The sequence below is a fragment of the Homo sapiens genome, chromosome 1, assembly GCF_000001405.40.
Source record: "Homo sapiens chromosome 1, GRCh38.p14 Primary Assembly".
NCBI classification, from domain to species: domain Eukaryota; kingdom Metazoa; phylum Chordata; class Mammalia; order Primates; family Hominidae; genus Homo; species Homo sapiens.
The window spans coordinates 197,267,564-197,288,440 of record NC_000001.11 but is presented as its reverse complement, the minus strand read 5'-3'; the positions used below and the strand labels follow the sequence as shown (position 1 = coordinate 197,288,440).

Below are 20,877 nucleotides of genomic sequence, written 5' to 3'. Positions count from 1 at the left end.
TTAGAAACAGTTTGGTTCTTTTAAGTCTTGCTTTTAAGATTTGTTAAGCAGCACAAGACCGTATCGAATCTGGAGGAGAATATTTGTAACTACCGAAGCAATATCCTACCAAATGTTTCATAAATCATGAAGTTATTCAGTCTGGCTACTGGGCACAGGTACAATTCTTGGCCCTCTGTGAGTGCTGGGCATTATTATCTCTAATCATTTCAGCTTTATTCTTTCCCAGGTCTTGGGAACTTTCCTTACATGCATGTGCTGATATAAACTCAGCTGAATACTAAAAGGAGCTTCTGCAGATCTCTGGTCTGTCTCTGTGCAGCTCTCCCCTCAGGTACTCCGTCTCATGAATTTCATCTGTCTGGGTCTCCTCAAACACTCGGCTCTCTATGAATCCCTCTCCCTGTGCTGTTGCCCGGAAACTCTCTCATGGTAGTAAGTTCAAGCAATAGGGCTCACCTTGTTTGTTTTCCATTTCTTAGGGATGACTACTCTTCATTCTCTGATAGCTGATGTCTCGGAAACCATTGTTTCATATGTGTTGCCAGGTTGCTTTTTTTATTGCTTCAGGCTGGAGGGTGAATCCAGTCCCACCTACTCCATCTTGCTCAGAAGTGGACACCTCTTCAGAATATAATTGTAAAATGTAATGTATGGATTTGTTTTTACCTGTTTGTGTAGCTAAGGAGGAAATAATTCCAGGTGGATCATTTGGCTAGTTGTATTTCTTTTTCCTTCATGAGTAGAATAATTCTATTTGTGAGCCATCCTTGGATAAACTGCACATGAGGAAATTTTGCTTTGTTACTGTCTCTAACATCTTCTTTCCCTAGCGCCTCTCTCCCTTGCAAGAAGTCAGAGCCTCCATGCTGCTGTGGGATCCATCAGGGATCCCGTTACAGAGACCACCATCATCAATTTCACATGCTTACAATCCCCCACAAACTCTCTACCGTTGACCTATTTTAGATCTTTTTCTTTCAAGTCCCTACTTTAAGTTAGGAAACTGAAAGTAAGTCTATGTTGATGGGTTAATGTAAAATTGTCCTTTTGTAATTGAAACATTCTGAAGAGCTTGAATTCACAAAAATGACAAACTCTGAGGAGAAAATTTTGGAGTGGCAGCAGGCTACCAGGAGCAATATATTAGCCTGGTTACAGTAGGTGAAACTATTTTGCAGTTCCAAGGGCCAGAACCACTTTTGGTTCTCAACTCATGGTTTATCAAACTAAGCCCTTTATTACCAAGTTCTGCTTTTCTCATTTCTAAAATATAGCATATTACTTTATTTTCTAATTAGCTCCTATATATTCAGGCCATATTCCACGTACTCATTTTACCTCTCCTGTGACCTATGAATATATGATACAAATATGAATTTTTGAAATTTTATAAGTGTATAAGAATTGTGCATTAAATGAATCTATCAACCTAACTTTACTTTGAGAACTTCTGTTATGAACTTTTTTCATAAATGTCTAATTCTCTATGAAGCAGAAAATTAATAGAATTCAAAATAGTTTTTCTTTTTCCCTTGAATGAAACAAAATAAGTCAAATGCTTAAATAATCAAATTAAATATCCATTATTTCTGATAACCATATGGCTTTGCATTAAATTACAGATATAAACAAAAATTTTATGAAATTATAATGCAAAACATGGGAACTATGTCAGTGATTTCTTCATTAAATCACAGAGCTGGAGGGTGCATTTAGAGGTCATCCAAGGCAGCCAGTGGTCTTCAGACACTAAGCGCCTACAATAGTACTGAAGTTTAACTCTAAGAAAACTTTATTATATTCTGTGCAAATGTATTTCAAAATTCATGTTTCATTACAGGTGTATAGGCCTTTTAGTAATTAGGGTAATTTGGACAGAAAGTTGAAATCTGTTACATTAGTATTGGGAAGATAAATTACAAATAAACAATTAGTAAATGTTTAGTTTTCTAAGGTCTATGGTTATCAAGACCTATAGGTGGTTTAGTGGGAATAACAAGAAGTTTTAATTCTGTTCTAGCTCTGTCACTTACTTTGCCAACTTGTCAAATCACTTAACTTCCATGAGAATAATTGTGCGCTATTTTAAAGTATAGATAACAGGTACATTGCAGGAGTTTTATACGATTCAGAGTTTGTATACAATTCTAAGTATTCGGTTCTCAATAAATGAGGTTGTTACGATTGCTATTGGGAAAAGACTGTGCCCTTTGATAGGTAACCTTCTCTCTATTTTCTAGAAAACAAGCAATCAAACTGATGCCACATGAAGGAAAAGAAAAATCTCTTTTTTCTCGGCTTTGCCCAGTCCTGGAGCACCAATAATTAGCTTTTCCTTCCTTTAAAAAGCCATGAAGGGGCTAAGAAGCTAGGAATAGTACTGAGCTACAATGAGTACAGAGAAAGGCCTATACTCTTTCAAGTCTGTATCACAGGAAACGTTGTGACCTCACATTCTAAGTCTTGAGAGCACACACAAGCCCAAGGAATTAAAAAAAGGAGAGAAAGAGATTCTGCTCAAATTCAAAGAATAACTAAATAAATTAACTAGTAATTGTTAAAAATTAATATTTATTGAGAATGTTTCAACTCTATCCAGTTGATTCTCTTTCATTATTTACTCAGCATGTGTGTTTCCCCTGGCATGGCCTTCCTTGGTAAATATGGGAGAAGGAGCTTAGTCTCCTGAGTCATCCACCTGTGCTCCACTGCTGCACAGAATGCTTCACCACACCACAGGTTAAGCCTCACTTTGCTGTCAGTCACCACATCAAACGTCTGGACTGCGATGCCTCAAGAAGAGTTGTTTCTATCACATTGGCTTCAACAGAGAGGCCAATGTGGGACATGTTATATCTGTTCATAGCCCAGTTGTAATATTTGCTACCATTCTACTCCCTAAGCTATAAAAGTAATAAAATCGAACTGAAGATCTGGCAAGGCAGAGAGGCTTTATAAGTAGTAACACTGATGTGTTAAAAATGAGAATTTGACATTCTTCTAACTAGTCTGTTGTACATCCCACTGAGAGGAGTATTTTACTGGCTATTTTTCTCTAAAGGGCAAGGCCTTCTAACAAGTTGCCTCATCTATTCTCTTATCCCTTATTTCTGTCCCCATCATCTCTCTATTTTCACTCTCTGACCCCCAAATTCATGGTTATTTATTATAAAAAATAGTTTAGCTACCATCTTCTTGCATAACCCTCTTATAAGCCGTGCTCTTGGACAAACTTCTCTTTTCACTACACTTTCACTTCCTTCAACCAATATTCCCAGTTACCAACTAGGTAACTTCCTAATCAAGGGGACTTTCATGTTGACATGAATGATCCTTCACAGTTTAATGACCAACTCACACTCCAATAGCCTATTTCAGCAACGACTCTCAAGACCATGACTTGCCATCATCCCTCAATATTCCTGTAATGAATATTTAAAGTCATCTATGATAACCACTGACCTGTAACACAACATGATTTCAAGGACATCATAGGATTTAATTTTATTTGACGTGAAAGGAATTTGACAGAGGCATATGATTTTAGCAACAATCATTTTGAAAATTATCAATGAAGAAAAGATATTACAACCAAGCAGTGGATTCCTTTGTTCTATTATTTTTTTAAATTACAATATCAGAATATGCACTTTATTTGTCAATTTTGAAAAAACAAATTCAATGATTCTGTGAAGTTTTTGTTTGCTTACTACGTGTCAGGCACTATCCTGAGCATTTTATATACCGAAAAAGGACTAACAGCTGTTTCTTTGGCCTCCTCTCTGGAAATGGCTGAAGACTAGACCTCTGATTTGCAGCAGCAACTGAGGAATAGTTAGATATTTACCTATATTGATGCAAGATAAATGAGAGTTCCATGGAAATGACTAAGCATGTGTAACTCATTGTCAAGGTTGTTTAACGAGTAATTGGGAACTAATGAAATGGAGCTGCCCTGAAGAAATAGGGCTAATCACATAAACCTGATTAGATGTGACTACTCAGTCACAAACACATGGCTTGATATAAAAACTGAAGGGAGGATCTCAGAGCTGATGATTTTCCCGAGCTGAAGTTGTATTCAATCAGCTTTATTCCTTGTGGCCACACACACCCAGGGTGCAGAATGACTGGGACATCCAAAGCTGTGTCTGAGAATCAGGAGACCTCTGCTGTGTTGTCATTGTGCATGCTATGACACTGGTCCTGTGCATTTTCTTCAAGACAAGTAAAATTGGTGCTTGATGAAGTCTATTGTGAATCTCAAGTCTGACTATAAATCAAATCAAGTTAAGACGTCATAGAGTGTCACACATTCATTTTTCATTTAATCCTCACAACACTCCTATGCAGTTTAAAATAATTATTCCCATTAGGCAGATGAGAAAACATAGAATTTAAGTAAAATGATTCAAACCCACATAGCTTATAATTGAAATAAACTATCTTTCGTTTCTTGAATATTTTTGAAACTGGTATTTTTCTAATATAACTTTTCAGTATTTAAAAATAGCAAATATTTACTTAATACTTCTGTCTATATATAGCTACTTCTGTTAGTAGCTCTGTGACTTAAAATTTATTGTTTGAATAACTAAATTATTTTTAAAATAAAATTTATTTTAATATAAATAATAATCTGTTTTATGTTTATTGAAGATTTTTGGCCTACTTACAGAAAATGTAGAACCTATAACAAAATTAAAGAAAAATATTGCAATCCCTTGTAATTTCAATGTCCAGTGATAATTGCTATTAAATTTCTAGAAACTGTGGTATAAAGAAACTGTGGTATATCGATATATATCTATCCATCTAGATAGATAGATACATGATGGAATACTACTCAGCCATAAAAAGGAATGAATTAATGGCATTTGCAGCAACTTGGGTGGAATTAGAGAACATTATTCTAAGTGAAGTAACTCAGGAATGGAAAACCAAACATCATATGTTCTCACTCATAAGTGGGAGCTAAGCTATGAGGACGCAAAGGCATAAGAATGATACAACGGACTTTGGGGACTCGGCAGGAAAGGGCGGGAGGGGGATGCGGGATAACAGACTACACATTGGGTTCAGTGTATACTGCTGAGGTGATGGGTGCACCAAAATCTCACAATCACCACTAAAGAACTTACTCATGTAACCAAATACCATCTGTTCCCCCCAAAAAACATAGGAAAAAAAAAGAAAAAAAAATTCTAAAATGTTTCCCTCCAGAATTTTTCTTTGTTTTTTCCAAGCATATTTTTTACACCACAAATTGCATATTGTAGATTACATAAGATTTGACATCCTGATGTGTTTATTTTTATTTTTTTTATTTTTGCTTAACCTTTTTGGAAAACAAAAATGACCTTTTGACTAAGTGTTGAGATTCTTTCCCCCTTCCTTGCCCACTGGTGTACCTTTGGCTCTGATTGCTCATCTTCCATACACCTATATTAAAAAATGTACCTTCACTAGCTTTATTCCTGGGCTTTTGTGATGCAGAATCAAGACAACCAGAAAGAAATAAACAAAATTTGGGAACCCAGGAGAGGGGACTTATATAAGAAAGAGTAGAGATTTATTTCTGAGAGAAGAAAAGAACCTATGAGAATTTCAAGAGAAAGGTCCAACCTTTTTCAGAGGTTAGACCTTAGGAAGTAGTGAGAGACATTGAGAACATAACAATTGAGAAATAATAGTTTTACAAGACATTGAGAACATAAAATGGAGAAATAATATTTCTCTGTGCCTTATATTCTAATTGTATATGTGTGTATATGTGTGCGTTTCTTAAGAGACTGCAGGAAATATTTAAATTGCTTTAATTTACTTTTGATTACTGGACTGTGTTTATTTCTTTGATCCCAAAGCAACACAATTTATGTTTCAAACATTTTATTAGTATAAACGTGCAAATTTGGTTAATAACATTAAGGTTATTTCTAATTTTTCACTATTATACATAACATACGGCTTCCTTCACATGCTATTTTTTGCTCTCATTTTCAACTATTTCTCCTAGAAGAGTTACTGGACCAATGAGTAGGAACACTCATATTTAAGCCTTGAATCCATAGTGTAAAATTATTTTATAGAACTTCGCTCTAGATTTTTTGTGTTCTCTCTTCTTATTCTAATAAGTAGTCCAGAGGATGGACTTGATGATAGTTACTGAATTTGTAAGTAAGGACCCAACTCTTTATCTTCTTTTTTTATTATTATTCTGAAATTTTATTTAAAAAACAACTAACAAATACATTTTAAATTCAATTATGTGACATAGTTATTTTTTAAAGGAATAAATTATTTTTAAAAGGAATGATTATGATTTCTTACCTCAGTAGAAATTTCAGAGACTTGATTTTCTTTTTTTTTTCATTTTTATGAATAGCTTATATTTTATTTATAAAAATGTAATTAACCCAAGCAGCAAGTTAATATTTTATATCGCAAGTTTTATATAGTCTATAATTTTTTTTATTATACTCTTTATCTTCTAACTGGGTCTCCCCTTTGAACTTTGGAGGGATATATCCAACTGCCTGCTGGATATTTTCACCTGAAAGTCCCTCCAATATTTCAAAATAAAGAGATTTAAATTGTAACAATTCATCCTATATTTTCCGTGCATTACTATTTTAGATAAAGTCATACCATTATTTAAGATACATAAACTAGGGGCCTGGAAATCATTCTTCGCTATCCTCCCTTTTGCTCTCACCCATTTCTCATTAAACAATAAGTTAATGTTCCCCTGAAGTATCTAAGCCCACTCTGCTTCTTCCTTACCAGGACCACGCTGTTTGAGGTCTCCATCATTTCATGCTAGGTCTCTCTAACTACAGCCTTGCTTTCCCTTCTTTATTCCCTTCTCATTCTGGCCAAGTCTGAGCATGCCAGGGTTCCTATTTAAAGTCCTTCAGTGGCTTTCAACCCCCCTTCATGGCACTTCCCAACACGTGAAGAGTAGGCTAAAGGGTGCCAGAGCTGCAAAAGCCACCAAGTGATCACCTCTGGTTGTCAACAGTCCTGACTACATGAGCAAGTATGGTGCACAGATATTATCCTCTCTCTACAGGCCACAGTGTGAAAACATTTGGGAACCTCTGACTACAAGAAAACTCTAGTATAAGATAATTCATTATAGCATTTAAAGCCTTTAATTATGCAGACACTGCCCCTACACCCTCATCTCACATCGCTCCCCACTGCTTCATTTTTCTATTAAGTCCCAAATGCACTGTGCCCTTGGTTGTTTCTTGCCTGTTCCCTCACATCAGTCTTTGCCACACTTTAAGAATCAATAATCGACCAACTTTCACTTTGTTAACTTATGGATTAGTGTCTCTTAAAACCTAGTCTGTAAATGACATGCATCACAATTACTAAGACTTATTTTTTAAATTGATTTTTTGGTCCTACACAGGAACAGTGAAATCATAGCATCAGGAGTTGTAGCACAGAAACCCATCATTTAATGACCGCCCCCGATGTGTTTATTTTACATATTAAATTTTTTAATCCGATGTCATACATACAATCTCACTGACCAATGTACTTTATAAAATATGATTACATACATGTCAGGAAGAAACAAAAGCATATTGAGTTAAATAAATGTTTGAGTCTTCATAAATATGAGTTTACCAGCCATGAACAATTAACAGTGAAATATCTACTAGAAAAAGGACATAATAAAAACTATCCTTCTTTTAAAAAATAGTTATATTGATGGCAAGGACTACAACTGACCCTAAGAATTAATAAAACATATTTTTGTGACAATCTGTAACCTAGGCAATTCCAGTACGCATTACTGCCTATTAGAGTTTTAAAAAATACCTTAAAGAAATGTACTTGATAGAATACATGTTTGGTATGATATCTGGATTTTTTAAAACCAGTTTATTCCCAAAGCTCTTGGCTCTCTGAAATTCTATCATCAGTCACACAACAAATTCCCTTTGAGGGCATACAGTATGTTGATATTTAAAATTATACTTGTAGCACATGTAGCTGGTGATGAATACATGATAAATTATCTTTAATACCTGTATTTCTTATGGTTTGAGCAATAGATTATTATTCACAGGTGGAACCTACTTACAAGCTTGATTGACGATCTTTTCACTGCATCTCTCTCCCTTATGTTTTTCTGATTTACGATTAACAATTATATTTACATTAATGCTTCCCTTCATAAAGCCAAAAGTCTGTTTGCAGAGTTTCCATGCTGTATCTATAGAAGACTGTTTAATTCAGAAGGACCAAAAGTTTTAAATTGTCCATGGTCTTATGAATGGTGACGCTGGTATTTCCAAATTCTGACCGTGTGATATGGTTGTGTGAAAACTACTCATATTAAAAAATAATTTAAGTATCTAAATCAACAATTTAGTGGCTTTACTTGTGCACTCCAAGCCTTAGATATCTCTGCAAAATGGGAATAATAAAATCTTCATCACAAGGTTTCAATTAAATGAGATAAACTATGTAAAAACATTCAGCCTAATGTCTGACATAGAGAAATTGGGTAACAGAGGTTGGTTGTATCTGGTAGGCAAGGAAAACATGAATCATAGACTCCTCTAATTTAAAAAAAAAAAAAGGCTTTAGAGATGTATTATCTCCAAAAACAAGGAATATGAGAATAAAAGGGTAGGGGGTAGTGGGCTGCTTTCACTATTGACATTGAGTCCCTCTACATGGACACAATTGCTATTTACCAGCCTACAGAAAAAACTACGTTTATGCAAACTTTGCCTTAGTTCTATGGCTATTCTGAACTTCAAGTAGTTCATATAGCTAGCCTGCTAACTGAAGCAGCTGAGTAGAAAGAGTTAAACAACACATACATTTCCTGATTTCAGTTGCTCCATAGAGGGGTTGTTAAAAAAAAAAAAAAAGCCAGAAAACAAACAAAAAAAAATTTGATATAATGAGGTTAGTGAAGAGAAAGCAATTTATATTTACATCTATAATTATTTGAGTTTATAATTACAGAAAGTAATGCTTTAATTATTTTAAGATTACTTTAGGAGAAATTGTAGAAATACAGTCAATACTATAATGAGTAGGCTGTAAAGGCTTCTTTTAAGGCTCCTAGTCTGTGAAAGTATTAAGTAGCTCCTTGCAATATTGTGTTTGATGTAATTTTCAGGCATTGATATATAAAATGTAAAATTTTACATTTCATTTTTCCTCTCTTTCCTTACCCAACCTCTGGTATAGGTGCTAATGATAAGTGAAATGAGGTTAAAGAGAAATAGGAATTCCTAATCTACAAACTGTATATGCTGTTTGCCAAATCTGAGTTGACCGTAACCTCAAAATATAACTACTTTCATTAGGGCTAATAATTTCGAAGCAAGCTTGATTATATTTTCTTTCAGAAAACATTTCTTCATACACAAGACTAGTTTTATTTTTCGGAATAAAATTTCTACCTCTATCTACATGTGAAAATAGTAGCCAGATCCATGCACAGACTTCTGACATTATTTTAAAAAGTGTGATGATTTTCTTAGGCAAAAATGTCTGGACAGCCTTTACACATATGCCCACCCCACTACAGTGTACGTGCCTGGAGAACAGTGGACCTTGCTCATTTTAACTGCTTAATATATAGTTGCTGAAATAATAGTTTTGTCAAGTCTTTTAAATTTCTAATATTTATTTTAATGGTTATTTAAAGAAATTTGTTTATAAATTGATCCCTGGAAGTTGGAAAGAGGAAAAAAGATGGAGTAGAAAACATTATTTGTTCCAAATATTTTATGCCTGAATATGGACTTTAGTCCATTGATGTCAAGCTTAGCCACATGACCTGCTTTTGTTAATGAAATGTGAGCCAAACCGAGGTATGTCAAAGCTGAGCTGAAGCTTTTAAGAGCTATTGTATGCTTCCTCCATTACCTTTTTCCCTCTGCCATTAAAACAGTGTTCTCTAAAAGGGAATGCCCCTGCAGATTGTGTCCTAAAATGAATGTCTTAATCTGTTTAGGCTGCCAAAACAAACTATCATAGACTAAGTGGCTTTATAAACAAGAGAATTTTTGTTGTTGTTCTTGTTTTGGAGACTGGAAAGTCCTAGGTCAAAGCACCAGTAGATATGGGGTCTGTCCAGGGCCAACTTCTGGTTCATAGGTAGAGGGCCATCTTCTCCATATGTCCTCACATGGTGGAAGGAGTAAGGAATTTCTTGGAGGTCTCTTTTACAAGGGCACTAATCCCATGTGTGAGGCCTCCACCCTAGTGACCTAATCCCCTACCAAAGGCCCCACCCCCTAAAACCGCCACTTTGGAGATTAGGGCTTCAATATACATATGTTCATTTGGGGAGAGGGGACAAACATTCACTATAGCAATGAAGAATACAAACGAGGCAGAGCTGCAGCCAACTTGCACACAGTACGTGGTGGGAACAAGATATACACCTTGTTGTTTTAACACTAAGATGTTGGGTTTGTTTTTTGTTGCAATATAACCTAGTGGAAGCTGGATCATGTAGAGTGACTGGTCACTAAAAACACTCTGCTCATCAATGTCTATGATTCGATTACCTAGAATAATCATGAAATCATAAAATGTAGGCCTTGAAAAAACGTGGTAATTAGATAATATAACCCCCTCATTTTACAAGTGAGAAATTGGAGACCTAGAAAGTTTAAATGATGCATTTATAGATACACAACTAATTGTGGGCCAGAGCCAGAATCTGTATTTACTGACACAACTCATATAAAAATTAATGCTGAATATAAATATTTATTCTTCAGCTATATTAAAAGAATAGATAATGAAAATTATAGACAGAAACACAATAATAATAATGCATCACCTATGTGAAAAAGTTATTGCTGCAAACCCGCAACTGATTATTTCAATGGTGTTGCTTAATTTGTTGAGTTAATTTCATTTTCTCTCCTTGTATTAAAAACTACAAATTTGAGACCATCTGACTAGACATAATTGCTTGTTGTACAGAGCTGGTCTCTGTGCAAAGCAAACTGAATTGTGTTGAGATTGAACCGTAAACTCAGCCTCATTAGCACTCTGCTCTCACTAATTTGCAGAAAGTAAAATAAGTATTTAAAGGTTCCAAGAATTCTGAATGTAGAGAAAAGAGTCATCCATCTGGGAATTATCAGGACAATTACGTGGAGAACCAAAAAGACTACACAATGCGGTTAATCTAGGTTACATATCAGCCATTCCTGCTTTGGCAGATTTTAGTCACAAGAATGGGATAGTGGTTGAAACTATAAACATTTTACCCTGAAAAAATTTTAAAGGTAGAATGAAAACTTTTATTATTTAGGACTAACTTTTTTTAAAAAAATAAATCTTCCCAAACACTGATTTGTAGTGTTTGCCAAATTCTGTGATGAAATTACTTCCACCGTGGCTGATTTTAAGCCACCAACGCTTTAATAACTGGCCTTTTAAATTCCTCAATGTTTATCTTTTGGAATAAATAAGCTGGTGTGAGCTTGTGGGAGGTTTAGAATCTGACAAACTTGTTTTAAATCTCAGTTGTATCCCCTTGTAGCTGTGTTTTTAGTATGTACCCTAGGCTGTCATTTGCTTAAGGTGTCCTAATGGTCTTAATAGCTACTATGTAGTATGATTGCAAGAATGAGAGATACTTATTGTAAAACCCCTGACACCTTTCCTAATTTGCCCTGTTTTACTCAATCCACTTCAGTTATGTTGGACAACTTACAGTATCTCAAACACTATAGGCACGCTCCTGCTTCAGGGTCTTTGCACTTGCTATTTTCTTTATCAAAATATTATTCACTGTGATATCCTCATGGTCCAGCTGCTCTCTGTTACTCATCTTTTGCTTTCTTCTATAGCACTTTTTGCCAGCTCACAATTACATAATTTACTTATTTATTTGGTTTTTGTCTCTCTTACCCCACTAAAGTGTAAATTTCACAATATCAAGGATTGTGGTCTCTTCTATTCACTACTGTACCCTTGGAGCCTAGAACAGTGTCAGATATATAGATTTACGGCCCTCAATAAATACTTATTGGATAAATAAGTAAATAAAAAAATTATGGAATAAATAGTAAATTTTAATATTTATTAATTATCCTATCTTAAGGCTAGGGACAACTAACTTTACATTGGTTGCCTCTAAAACCAGTAAAATTTTTGGTCCCGTCAAACCATTCAACTCCAAATAGTCATGCTAATTCCTACATGTACGGGATACAGCAGTATGGGATACAGCAGTATGGGATACAGCATGACTGAATCCCATAGTGTTATTATTAAAAGTACACTGCCTTTGGTTTTGCTTTTAATAAAACTTTTCTGAAGATAAAAACTAGGAAATATAGGACAATCTACTTAGCATGTTGCAACGAAACTTTGAAGGAATCACTACTTTTTATTAAACTAGGAAGGACACTAGATGACTGATAAAGGGTGCTAACCATAGCAACCAATAGGATCTAATACTAGATGACTGAGTACCTTCTTCCTTTCAGAAATTTTACTGTTTATTGTTAAGTCAAAAATATGTACATAAAATAAAAGATGACATTTTATTAATAAGCACAACAAATAACACATGCACAGTAAAATAACTTGCAATCACTGTTTTGAATCAATAATAAAGGAAAGTAATCTTTTGGTGCCCCAAGTAATGAATGCAGTTTGTGAAAAAAAGTAGGTTAAAAAATTGAACATTCACATATGGAAGACAGCTAAACTATTTGTCCCGAGGAAATATGGAGGCATGTTTACACCTAATTCTAGTGCTATTTTACATATTGATCAGACTCTAAGTTAATTTCATAGGGCAAATTTACATAGGAGGAAATTTCTGAACACTTAATTCAAAGTGAAAGGCTGAATATGTAAAAGGTAGGGACAGTGTAAAGAGGGGGAAAATAAGAGAACAATATGGGCACATTGTTTAGCATAATCTTTCTTCTACCACATGTTAATACAAGGATATCGATATAATGTCTCTTGAAACATAACAACTATTTACTCCACAAATATTTACCAAGCACTTACTATGTTTAAAAAATCAATTGTAAACCAATTTTACCCAATAAAAGTGGTATTAACCAAGTGTTTTTTAAATCATATATCAGAGTTTTATTCATAGTAGATGTTATAGGTTGAATTGTGTCCCCAAGGTATGTCAGAGTCCTAACCCTCAGTACCTGTGAATGTGCCCTTATTTGTAAATAGGGTTTTTGCAGATGTAATCAAGTTAACATGGGGTCATTAGGGTGAATCTACTCCAATATGACTGACGTCCTTATAAGAAGAATAGAAGAGAGGTAGACAGATAAAGTGAGAATATCATGTGATAGTAGCAGAGACTGGAGTGATGCAGTTGCAAGCTAAGAAACACCCGGGACTGAATGACACCACTAGAAGCCAGGAAAAGGCAGGTAAGGATTCCAAGTGGAGTCTCAGTGGAAGCAAGGGGCTTCTTACCTTTGATTTCAGACTTCTAGCCTCCAGAGCTATGAGAGAATACATTTATGTTGCTTTAAGCCACCCAGTTTGTAGTACTTTGTTACAGTAGCCCTAGGAACTAATAGCCCCAAACTGAAAGTAACAAAGTTGTCCTTCAGTAGGTGAGTGTTTAAGCAAACCGTGCTACATCTATATAATGGAATATTTTTCAGTAATAAAAAGAAATGAACTATCAAGTCACAAAAGCACATGGAGGAAGCTTAAATAAATATTGCTGTGTGAAAGAAGCTCGTCCAGAAAGGCTACATATTGTATGATTCCAATTTTATAGCATCCTATAAAAGACAAAACTATAGAGACATAGAATGATCAGTGGCTTCCAGAGAATCAAGGGTGTAGAGAAGAGGCACAGGGGACTTTTAGAATAGTAATTATTCTGCATAATACTTTAATGGTGCATTTGTCAAAATGTACAGAATTTTACAGTACAAAGAGTCAATCCAATTGCATGCAAATTTATAAAATCATTTAGGACATCAAAGAAATCCCATGAAGTAATTCAGACTTTGACACAACAATCTAACTGCATTACAAATGTATGAAATAATCTCACAGAAGGGGTTGGGGGAGAACTGTTCACCTAAGTAGTTTTGGAAACAAGTGGATTCTGAAAAACTAAAAACAAAATGAAACAGCTATAAGTACTGTACCTAAACAGTTAAAGTTGTTTCCCATAGGAGTATGGGTTAACAGTCCAATACCGCTATATATGTATACTGAATTTAAACAAGTGAATAAATGGCAGATAGTGGAAATCAGGTTTCTCACTGTTGAAATTTACAGATAAGCAAGGGGAGACAGCTAGAATGATCCATGTGGAAATGGAGTTAGAGGCATCAATATGAACTCATATTTAGCTTAATACAGACAGACACAGATTTACATATAGAGATATCTATAGAAACATGTATATACACGGACTAGTACACAGACATATTTCTGTGCTCTTTCAGCTGAGATTGCCTAAAAGACCTGACACCCCAGCAGCAACAAGCACACCTCACATCCAGATCTTGGTTTTGGTTACCATTCTCTAATAAAAGGAAACAGAGCTCCTTGGAGAAATGGTGATTTATGCTAGGATTGGGTCAGGAAATACACAAGATCAGTCTGAAAGGGATTGTAGAGCCATAAAGGAAGAAAATCCTTTTTTAAAAAGCACCCCACATTGATGGGGAGTACGTGAAAAGAAAATAGGAGCCAACTGAAAAGAACTCCCACAGGCCAAAGATGGAATAATTTGAGTAACAAAATAAAATAGTATTGACTTATAACCCAGAGTATAAAATAAATGTCAATAGATTCATACTGATATGAATAAACAATTGAATAAATAAATAAATGAAAGAGAAGAGCCAGATCTCCTATGCAGAAGAATTTCGAATAATTTATGTAAATTTTTCCCTCCAGGAGAGAGATCATAACTCCAAACTTCTTAAGTGTGGGTTACACACAGTGACTTCCTTTTCTAAGAGTACAGTATGGAGAAGAATAAAAGACATAACTTTATAGTTATCAGGGAAACCTGATAACACCACCTCCCAGGTGAGTAAGGTCAATATCAGCAGTCACATATCATGTTGATTGTATAAATCATTGATAATATTATAGATATGATGTAATGAGGATAACCCTTTGCCTTTGTGGTCTTCATTCCAATAGCCCATAACTCCAGTTTCACCATGAGGAAAACACAAAACTAACTCCAATATTGGGAGAATCTATAAAATACCTGGCCAGAACTCAAAACCTTCAAGGTCATCAAAAACAAGGAAAGCCTGAGGAACTGTCACAGCCAAGAGGAACCTCAAAATACAAGACAGCAAAATGTACTGTGATATCTTGGATGGGATACTAGAACAGGGAAAGCATGTCAGGTAATATCTAAGGAAATGTACATAAACTACTTAGGTGAACAGTTTTTCCCCAACCCCTTCTGTGAGATTATCTCATACATTTGTAATGCAGTTAGATTGTTGAGTCAGAGTCTGAATTACTTCCTGGGATTTCCTTGATTTCCTAAATGATTTTATAAATTTGCATGCAATTAGATTGACTCTTTGTACTGTAAAATTCTGTACATTTTGACAAATGCACCATTAAAGTATTATGCAGAATAATTACTATTCTAAAAGTCCCCTGTGCCTCTTCTCTACACCCTTGATTCTCTGGCAGCCACTGATCATTCCATGTCTCTATAATTTTGTCTTTTACAGGATGCTATAAAATTGGAATCATACAATATGTAGCCTTTCTGGACGAGCTTCTTTCACACAGCAATATTTATTTAAGCTCCCTCCATGTGCTTTTGTGACTTGATAGTTCATTTCTTTTTATTACTGAGTAATATTCCATTATATAGATGTAGCACGGTTTGCTTAAACACTCACTCTAACTTTTCTTGTCCACTTGAATTCCAGTATTTGTTATTGTGAGACCATGAATGATAATTTTTGAAAATCACCAATGATGAAAAAAAAGCATGCAATTCTCCAGAAAATTTTGCTAAGAGAAGTATCTAATAAAAGAAGCCACAGTTAACTCTGCTATGTAATGTAGGAAACCCTGGGTAACTTTCATGGAGTAGTGATGATTTTACTGTAAACTGATGAGATTATTTCATTTATGAGGAAGCAAAAAGATACCTTTTTCTCACACTAATAATTAGGTAGGCACTTTACAAAATGCCACTGCAAGGATATTAACTTGCACAGTAACGATCAAAGTTTTCAATGTTTCTACACATGTAGAATTTTAAGAGTATGTGATTACTCCCTAATGAATAACATCAGCCTTCTCTGACATATTAAGCAAATTCAATTATTTCTTATTTAATCTCTATTTGTTCTTCATTCTTTTAGTACTTTAGAAAGTACTTTTTAAAATAATGCCATTCAAATCAATTACTTAATAATTGCTAATGGTTTTTGGAAGACTGGATGCTACCCCAAACTCTTTAACATTGTTCTGGTAACTCTAAAGTAGTTTTGTCAAACCACATTTTTTTTACATGTTGTGATCATACTTTAAACGTAGATTAAAACAGTTACTTTTAAATTAATCTCGATGTGGCATTTACATTGAAAATATTGTTTACCCCCAAATTTATAAAGGACTAGAGAGATAGACATTACTTTTCTAATTCATGGTATGGTTGTTTCTTTAAAACCCTTCAGAACAGATTCATACATCAAGGTCCCAAAAAGAGTTTATTATAAAGTACTGTTATTATTTAAAACAGTCTCTGAATAATGGATCACAGGAGAGTCTCACTCTAATAAGTTTCTCTTTTAATACATCAGAAGCAAAAAATAATAGCTCTTCTTGAATTATTAAAATTTAATTGGTCCCACACATTAGAACCAGTTTTGCAAAATCAAGGAACAGGTATAAAAACAATCAGGACAAATTCATTGCAACTCCAAGTTAGGAGAATGTCTACCTGCTCAGGAACAGAAAGGGAATGTCACTTCCTGAACTCTGCTCTAATATTCCTCATGTCACATGTCCTCAACTGGAAGGACATAAAGGTTGATCAAAACATAAACAGCGTTCCCCTGGTAGCTGAGCAAGGTAGAACTTTAGATACAAAATACAGTATGGAGCTGGAGGTGATTATTTTCTCTTAAATTTAAGGGAACATATTTCAAAGTTCGAAGAAAGAATCATTGATTCCTTCAATTAATATGATATTAATAACTGAAATTTCTTTCTCCCTTTCTTTTTATTTCTTGAGACAGGGTGTAGCCCTTTTTACCAGGCTGGAGTGCAGTGGCAGGATCATGGCTCACAGCAGTCTCGACCTTCCAGTCTCAAGCGATCCTCCCACCTCAGCCTCCTGAGTAGCTGAGACTACAGGCACATACCACGATGCCCCATTAATTTTTTATATTTTTGTGTGTAGAAATGAGGTCTTGTTATGTTGCCCAGGCTGGTCTTGAACTAGGCTTAAGTGAACTCATTTCAGCCTCTCAAAGTGCTGGGACTACAGGCTTGAGCCACCATACCTGGATAATGGACATTTCTTTGTTTGCTATTATGTTCCAAGCAGAACATAATAAAGTCTGCTTAAGCATTATCACTTAAAGTCCTTATGCATTATCACTTCATGGGAATAACTACATGCAAGCTAAGAGCCCACACTCCAGAGCCAGATCTCCAGGTTCACATTCCAGATCTACCATTCACTAGTAGTATGGCCTTGGACAAATTAATAAACCTCTATGTGCCTCAGTTTCTTCAGCTGCAAAATGGAATTAATAATAAATTCTACTTGACAGGGTTATTATGTATATAAGAGTGACAACAGTTATAAAGCTCATAGTGTTTATCTTTTCTCCTAAATAATCTCATTGAAGAGAGAGATATGTTTATATTTAACTATTCTGATGATTCCTAGCATCATTATGTAGTAGGTTCTTAATAAAGATTTATTGTATAGCTCAGAGCTTCTGGTTACCTGTATTTGAAATGAAGAGCTAATTAAATTATAGTTTCCTAGGATCTACTAAGTACCTGGGGCTAGACTTGAGAGGCTGCACATTTTAACCAGGCATTCCAGCTCCCTGAGGTGCCTCAAAGTTTGAGGTACACTGGTATAGTGACTTGAATCTTTGTTTCATCTTCTATAAAATGTGAATTACTATGATAGTATCTATCTTATAGGGTTGTTGCAAGAAGTAAATGACATATATGATATAGAAAATGCTTAACACAATGTTAGCAATTTTTACTGCTAGATATTATGTTATTCACTTGTCTGGAACACAGAATTTGTGTCAAGAATACTAGGTAATAAGGGTAGAAAGGAAGGCTGATGCTAGATTGTTTTAAAGTCAGGTGGGAAAAAAACTCAGCTAACAAGGTCTAAACTACGTGTTTTGATTGGGAAAGCAATATGATTATATCTTGCCAATAAATATATCAACACAGACAAAAGTCTACCTGCTTAAAAATCGAAGAAAATGAGACTTCAAATGTACTTTTTTAAACGAATAAAAATACTATGCTGGAGAACAAATAAAATAATTACAAAGTATTTAGAATCTATCAATAAAATCACTTACTCAAAGAGAGCAAAAACAAATGATATATATTTATCAATTCATAGTTACTATACTTTTAATTAAAGATATCATACATTCATTTCCTTTAAAACAAACTGCAGCAAACTCCAGGAATTTCCATATATATTACATTGAATGACAAAGCTGTTTGCCATAAAATGCACCATAAACTCACTTCACATTCATTTTATGACTTATTTCTTTTTCTCCCTTTCTTCTCCTACCTGCACAACTAAACACAGCACTTCTCTTCCTCATTCCTCATTGCCTGGGGCCCACATTAAGTTTCAAGGAGGGTAAATAACTATTTAAATAACAACTCTTTAGTAAATATATATGAAAAAAAATCTTTTGTGAGTGTGCGTTGCAGTCAAGTATTATACTGATCATTTGTTTAAAGTTTGACTTGGTTTTTCTATATGTGCCATCAGCTACCTACCCACAGCATTTACTTATTTCTTCACTCAGTCTCTAATATATGTTCAACTGTAAACCGTACAAGTAACAATCTCACTGGTGCAGCCACAGAAGGTGACCCAGATTATCCAACACTGTGTGCTAATGCCAAGTTGTCTTGTTCAACGGCAGCTGCTCTACGCTTTGCCTTATTGATATTCAGATTCAACAGACACAAATCACATGGCCCCTTTGACAAGCACACACTCTCCCTGTCTTCGTTTTAAACGTGTTGAATAGCTACTGTGCTTCATAAACACACAGCTGGGGCAATTTGGTCTCCTCTGATTTTCCATCCTGCTATAGAACCGACAAGATTATCTCAGAAACATTGCTCTTGCTTCTATTTGGGGAAGTTTGTGGAAAATAATATCTTCATTTATAAAACAGAAACACATAACAGTAAAAGCCCATTTCTCTGGTGAAAGAAACACTTTGAACCATTATCCTCTGGGAAACATTGAGACTATCCCCTTAATTATGAGAGCAAATGTTGCAACACAGAGTTATTTAAAAGTGAAGATAAATATATAGTATGTGGGAATAAAATGAAATACAGGTTATGAATAACTTCCTTTTAAAGGATATCAATTAGTAAGGGCCAAATCTATTTTGTAAAAGCGTAAACACAACAAAATATCTTCTAGTCTATGTGACCATTTCATTCTCCAGCTCACTACTACAAAGGTTAAAAACAAAATTTCTGTACCTGAATACCTATTGGAAATCATAGAATCTTAAAACTGACTGTTCACATTGACTGGTATCACTGATTTCTTTAACACAGGACACTTAAAAAAAAAACAAATAAAAACTTCCTTTTTTAGCATTGTATTTTATAGAACATGCAACATTATCCATTATTTGTAAGAAATATAATAAGCCAGAAATAAACCAGGAAAAATGCCCAAAGTGGGAAAGGCTTACTTTTTATGTAGATAAGCAGTGAGAAACTGAGGTAGAAGATGAGAAGGTAGTTAATGTTCTTAAGTGCCATGGTCTTATTTAGAGAACATCCTCTGGTGTGTTGCTGGTGGTCTGGTCCCAGTCCGGCTCCTGATCCCTGTCTGTCTCAGAGAGGAGCGGGTGCCTCAGAACCCCCAGGTGCCATCTCTGTCCCACCCTACTTACAGCTCCTTCACAGAAAATACAGGGACTTAGATTCAAAATGCAGTTTGTGCTTCTTAGCATCACTTACACGGGAGGATGGGGTGATTTTTCAAACCTGGTGCAGATTTTTTCAGGCTGGATTGGATTCATTCCCCCCTCAAGCCTTTGCTGCGAGTTTTCTTCTGTTCATGCTGCCTCCTCAAAAGGGCCTACATTAGAATAGTGTCTTCAATTGCTCTCAATAGAGGGATTAATTTCTGATAACTGCCTTGCCACACAATTATGATCTGGCAACTTTTAAAGGAATACCGTATGTTCCTGTATATTTACTTTCATCTTCAGAAAATAATTCACAGACAAGTAATCTTTTCTGTTCATAAATTATATTCCCACAACTCAGATTTCTGCTGTTTGTAAGTTGGGCCAAGACAGAAGAAAACTTAAACTACTGCATAAAATGAACAGAGTTCTGAAGATCATTCAGGGGCAGATTTTGTCGTAAGTCCAGAGCTCATTTTATTCTCGGTTCATGAAATTATATGCTCTGGGATTTCTTGAGCTTTTGTTTTACTATAATTGATGAATGTAAACATGTTTGCTTATTTAAAAAATACACTTGCTTTAAATACACAATATTTTCTCAGATTAAATTGTTCAAGTCCTTAAAATTGTATTTTTATTAGACACCATGAAAACATCCATTAATTAAAACCAGAATGCTTTATTTTCTAATTGG

The 20,877-nt window shown here is 34.9% G+C and overlaps 1 protein-coding gene and 1 long non-coding RNA gene across 12 annotated transcripts in view; one reads left to right on the top strand and one right to left on the bottom strand.

Moving 5' to 3' along the window:
- The window catches only part of CRB1 (crumbs cell polarity complex component 1), a 276,952-nt gene that overhangs the window by 190,015 nt on the left and 66,060 nt on the right, over positions 1-20,877 (bottom strand). For 9 of the 11 annotated variants that reach the window (NR_047564.2, NR_047563.2, XM_017000852.2 and 6 more), the window contains exon 1: positions 19,959-20,189. The exons of the other annotated variants lie outside the window; for them this stretch is intronic. Coding sequence is in view for 7 of the 9 variants with exons in the window: in XM_017000852.2 (XP_016856341.1) it covers positions 19,959-20,028 (70 nt within the window). In the remaining 2 variants the exon portion in view is untranslated. Of the gene's footprint in view, positions 1-19,958; positions 20,190-20,877 lie in introns of those variants that run through there. 11 annotated transcript variants of the gene reach the window in all.
- Positions 608-15,386, top strand: LOC124904477 (uncharacterized). Its single transcript, XR_007066780.1, has 3 exons — positions 608-646; positions 14,920-15,054; positions 15,172-15,386. It is a non-coding gene; the product is annotated as an uncharacterized LOC124904477 (long non-coding RNA).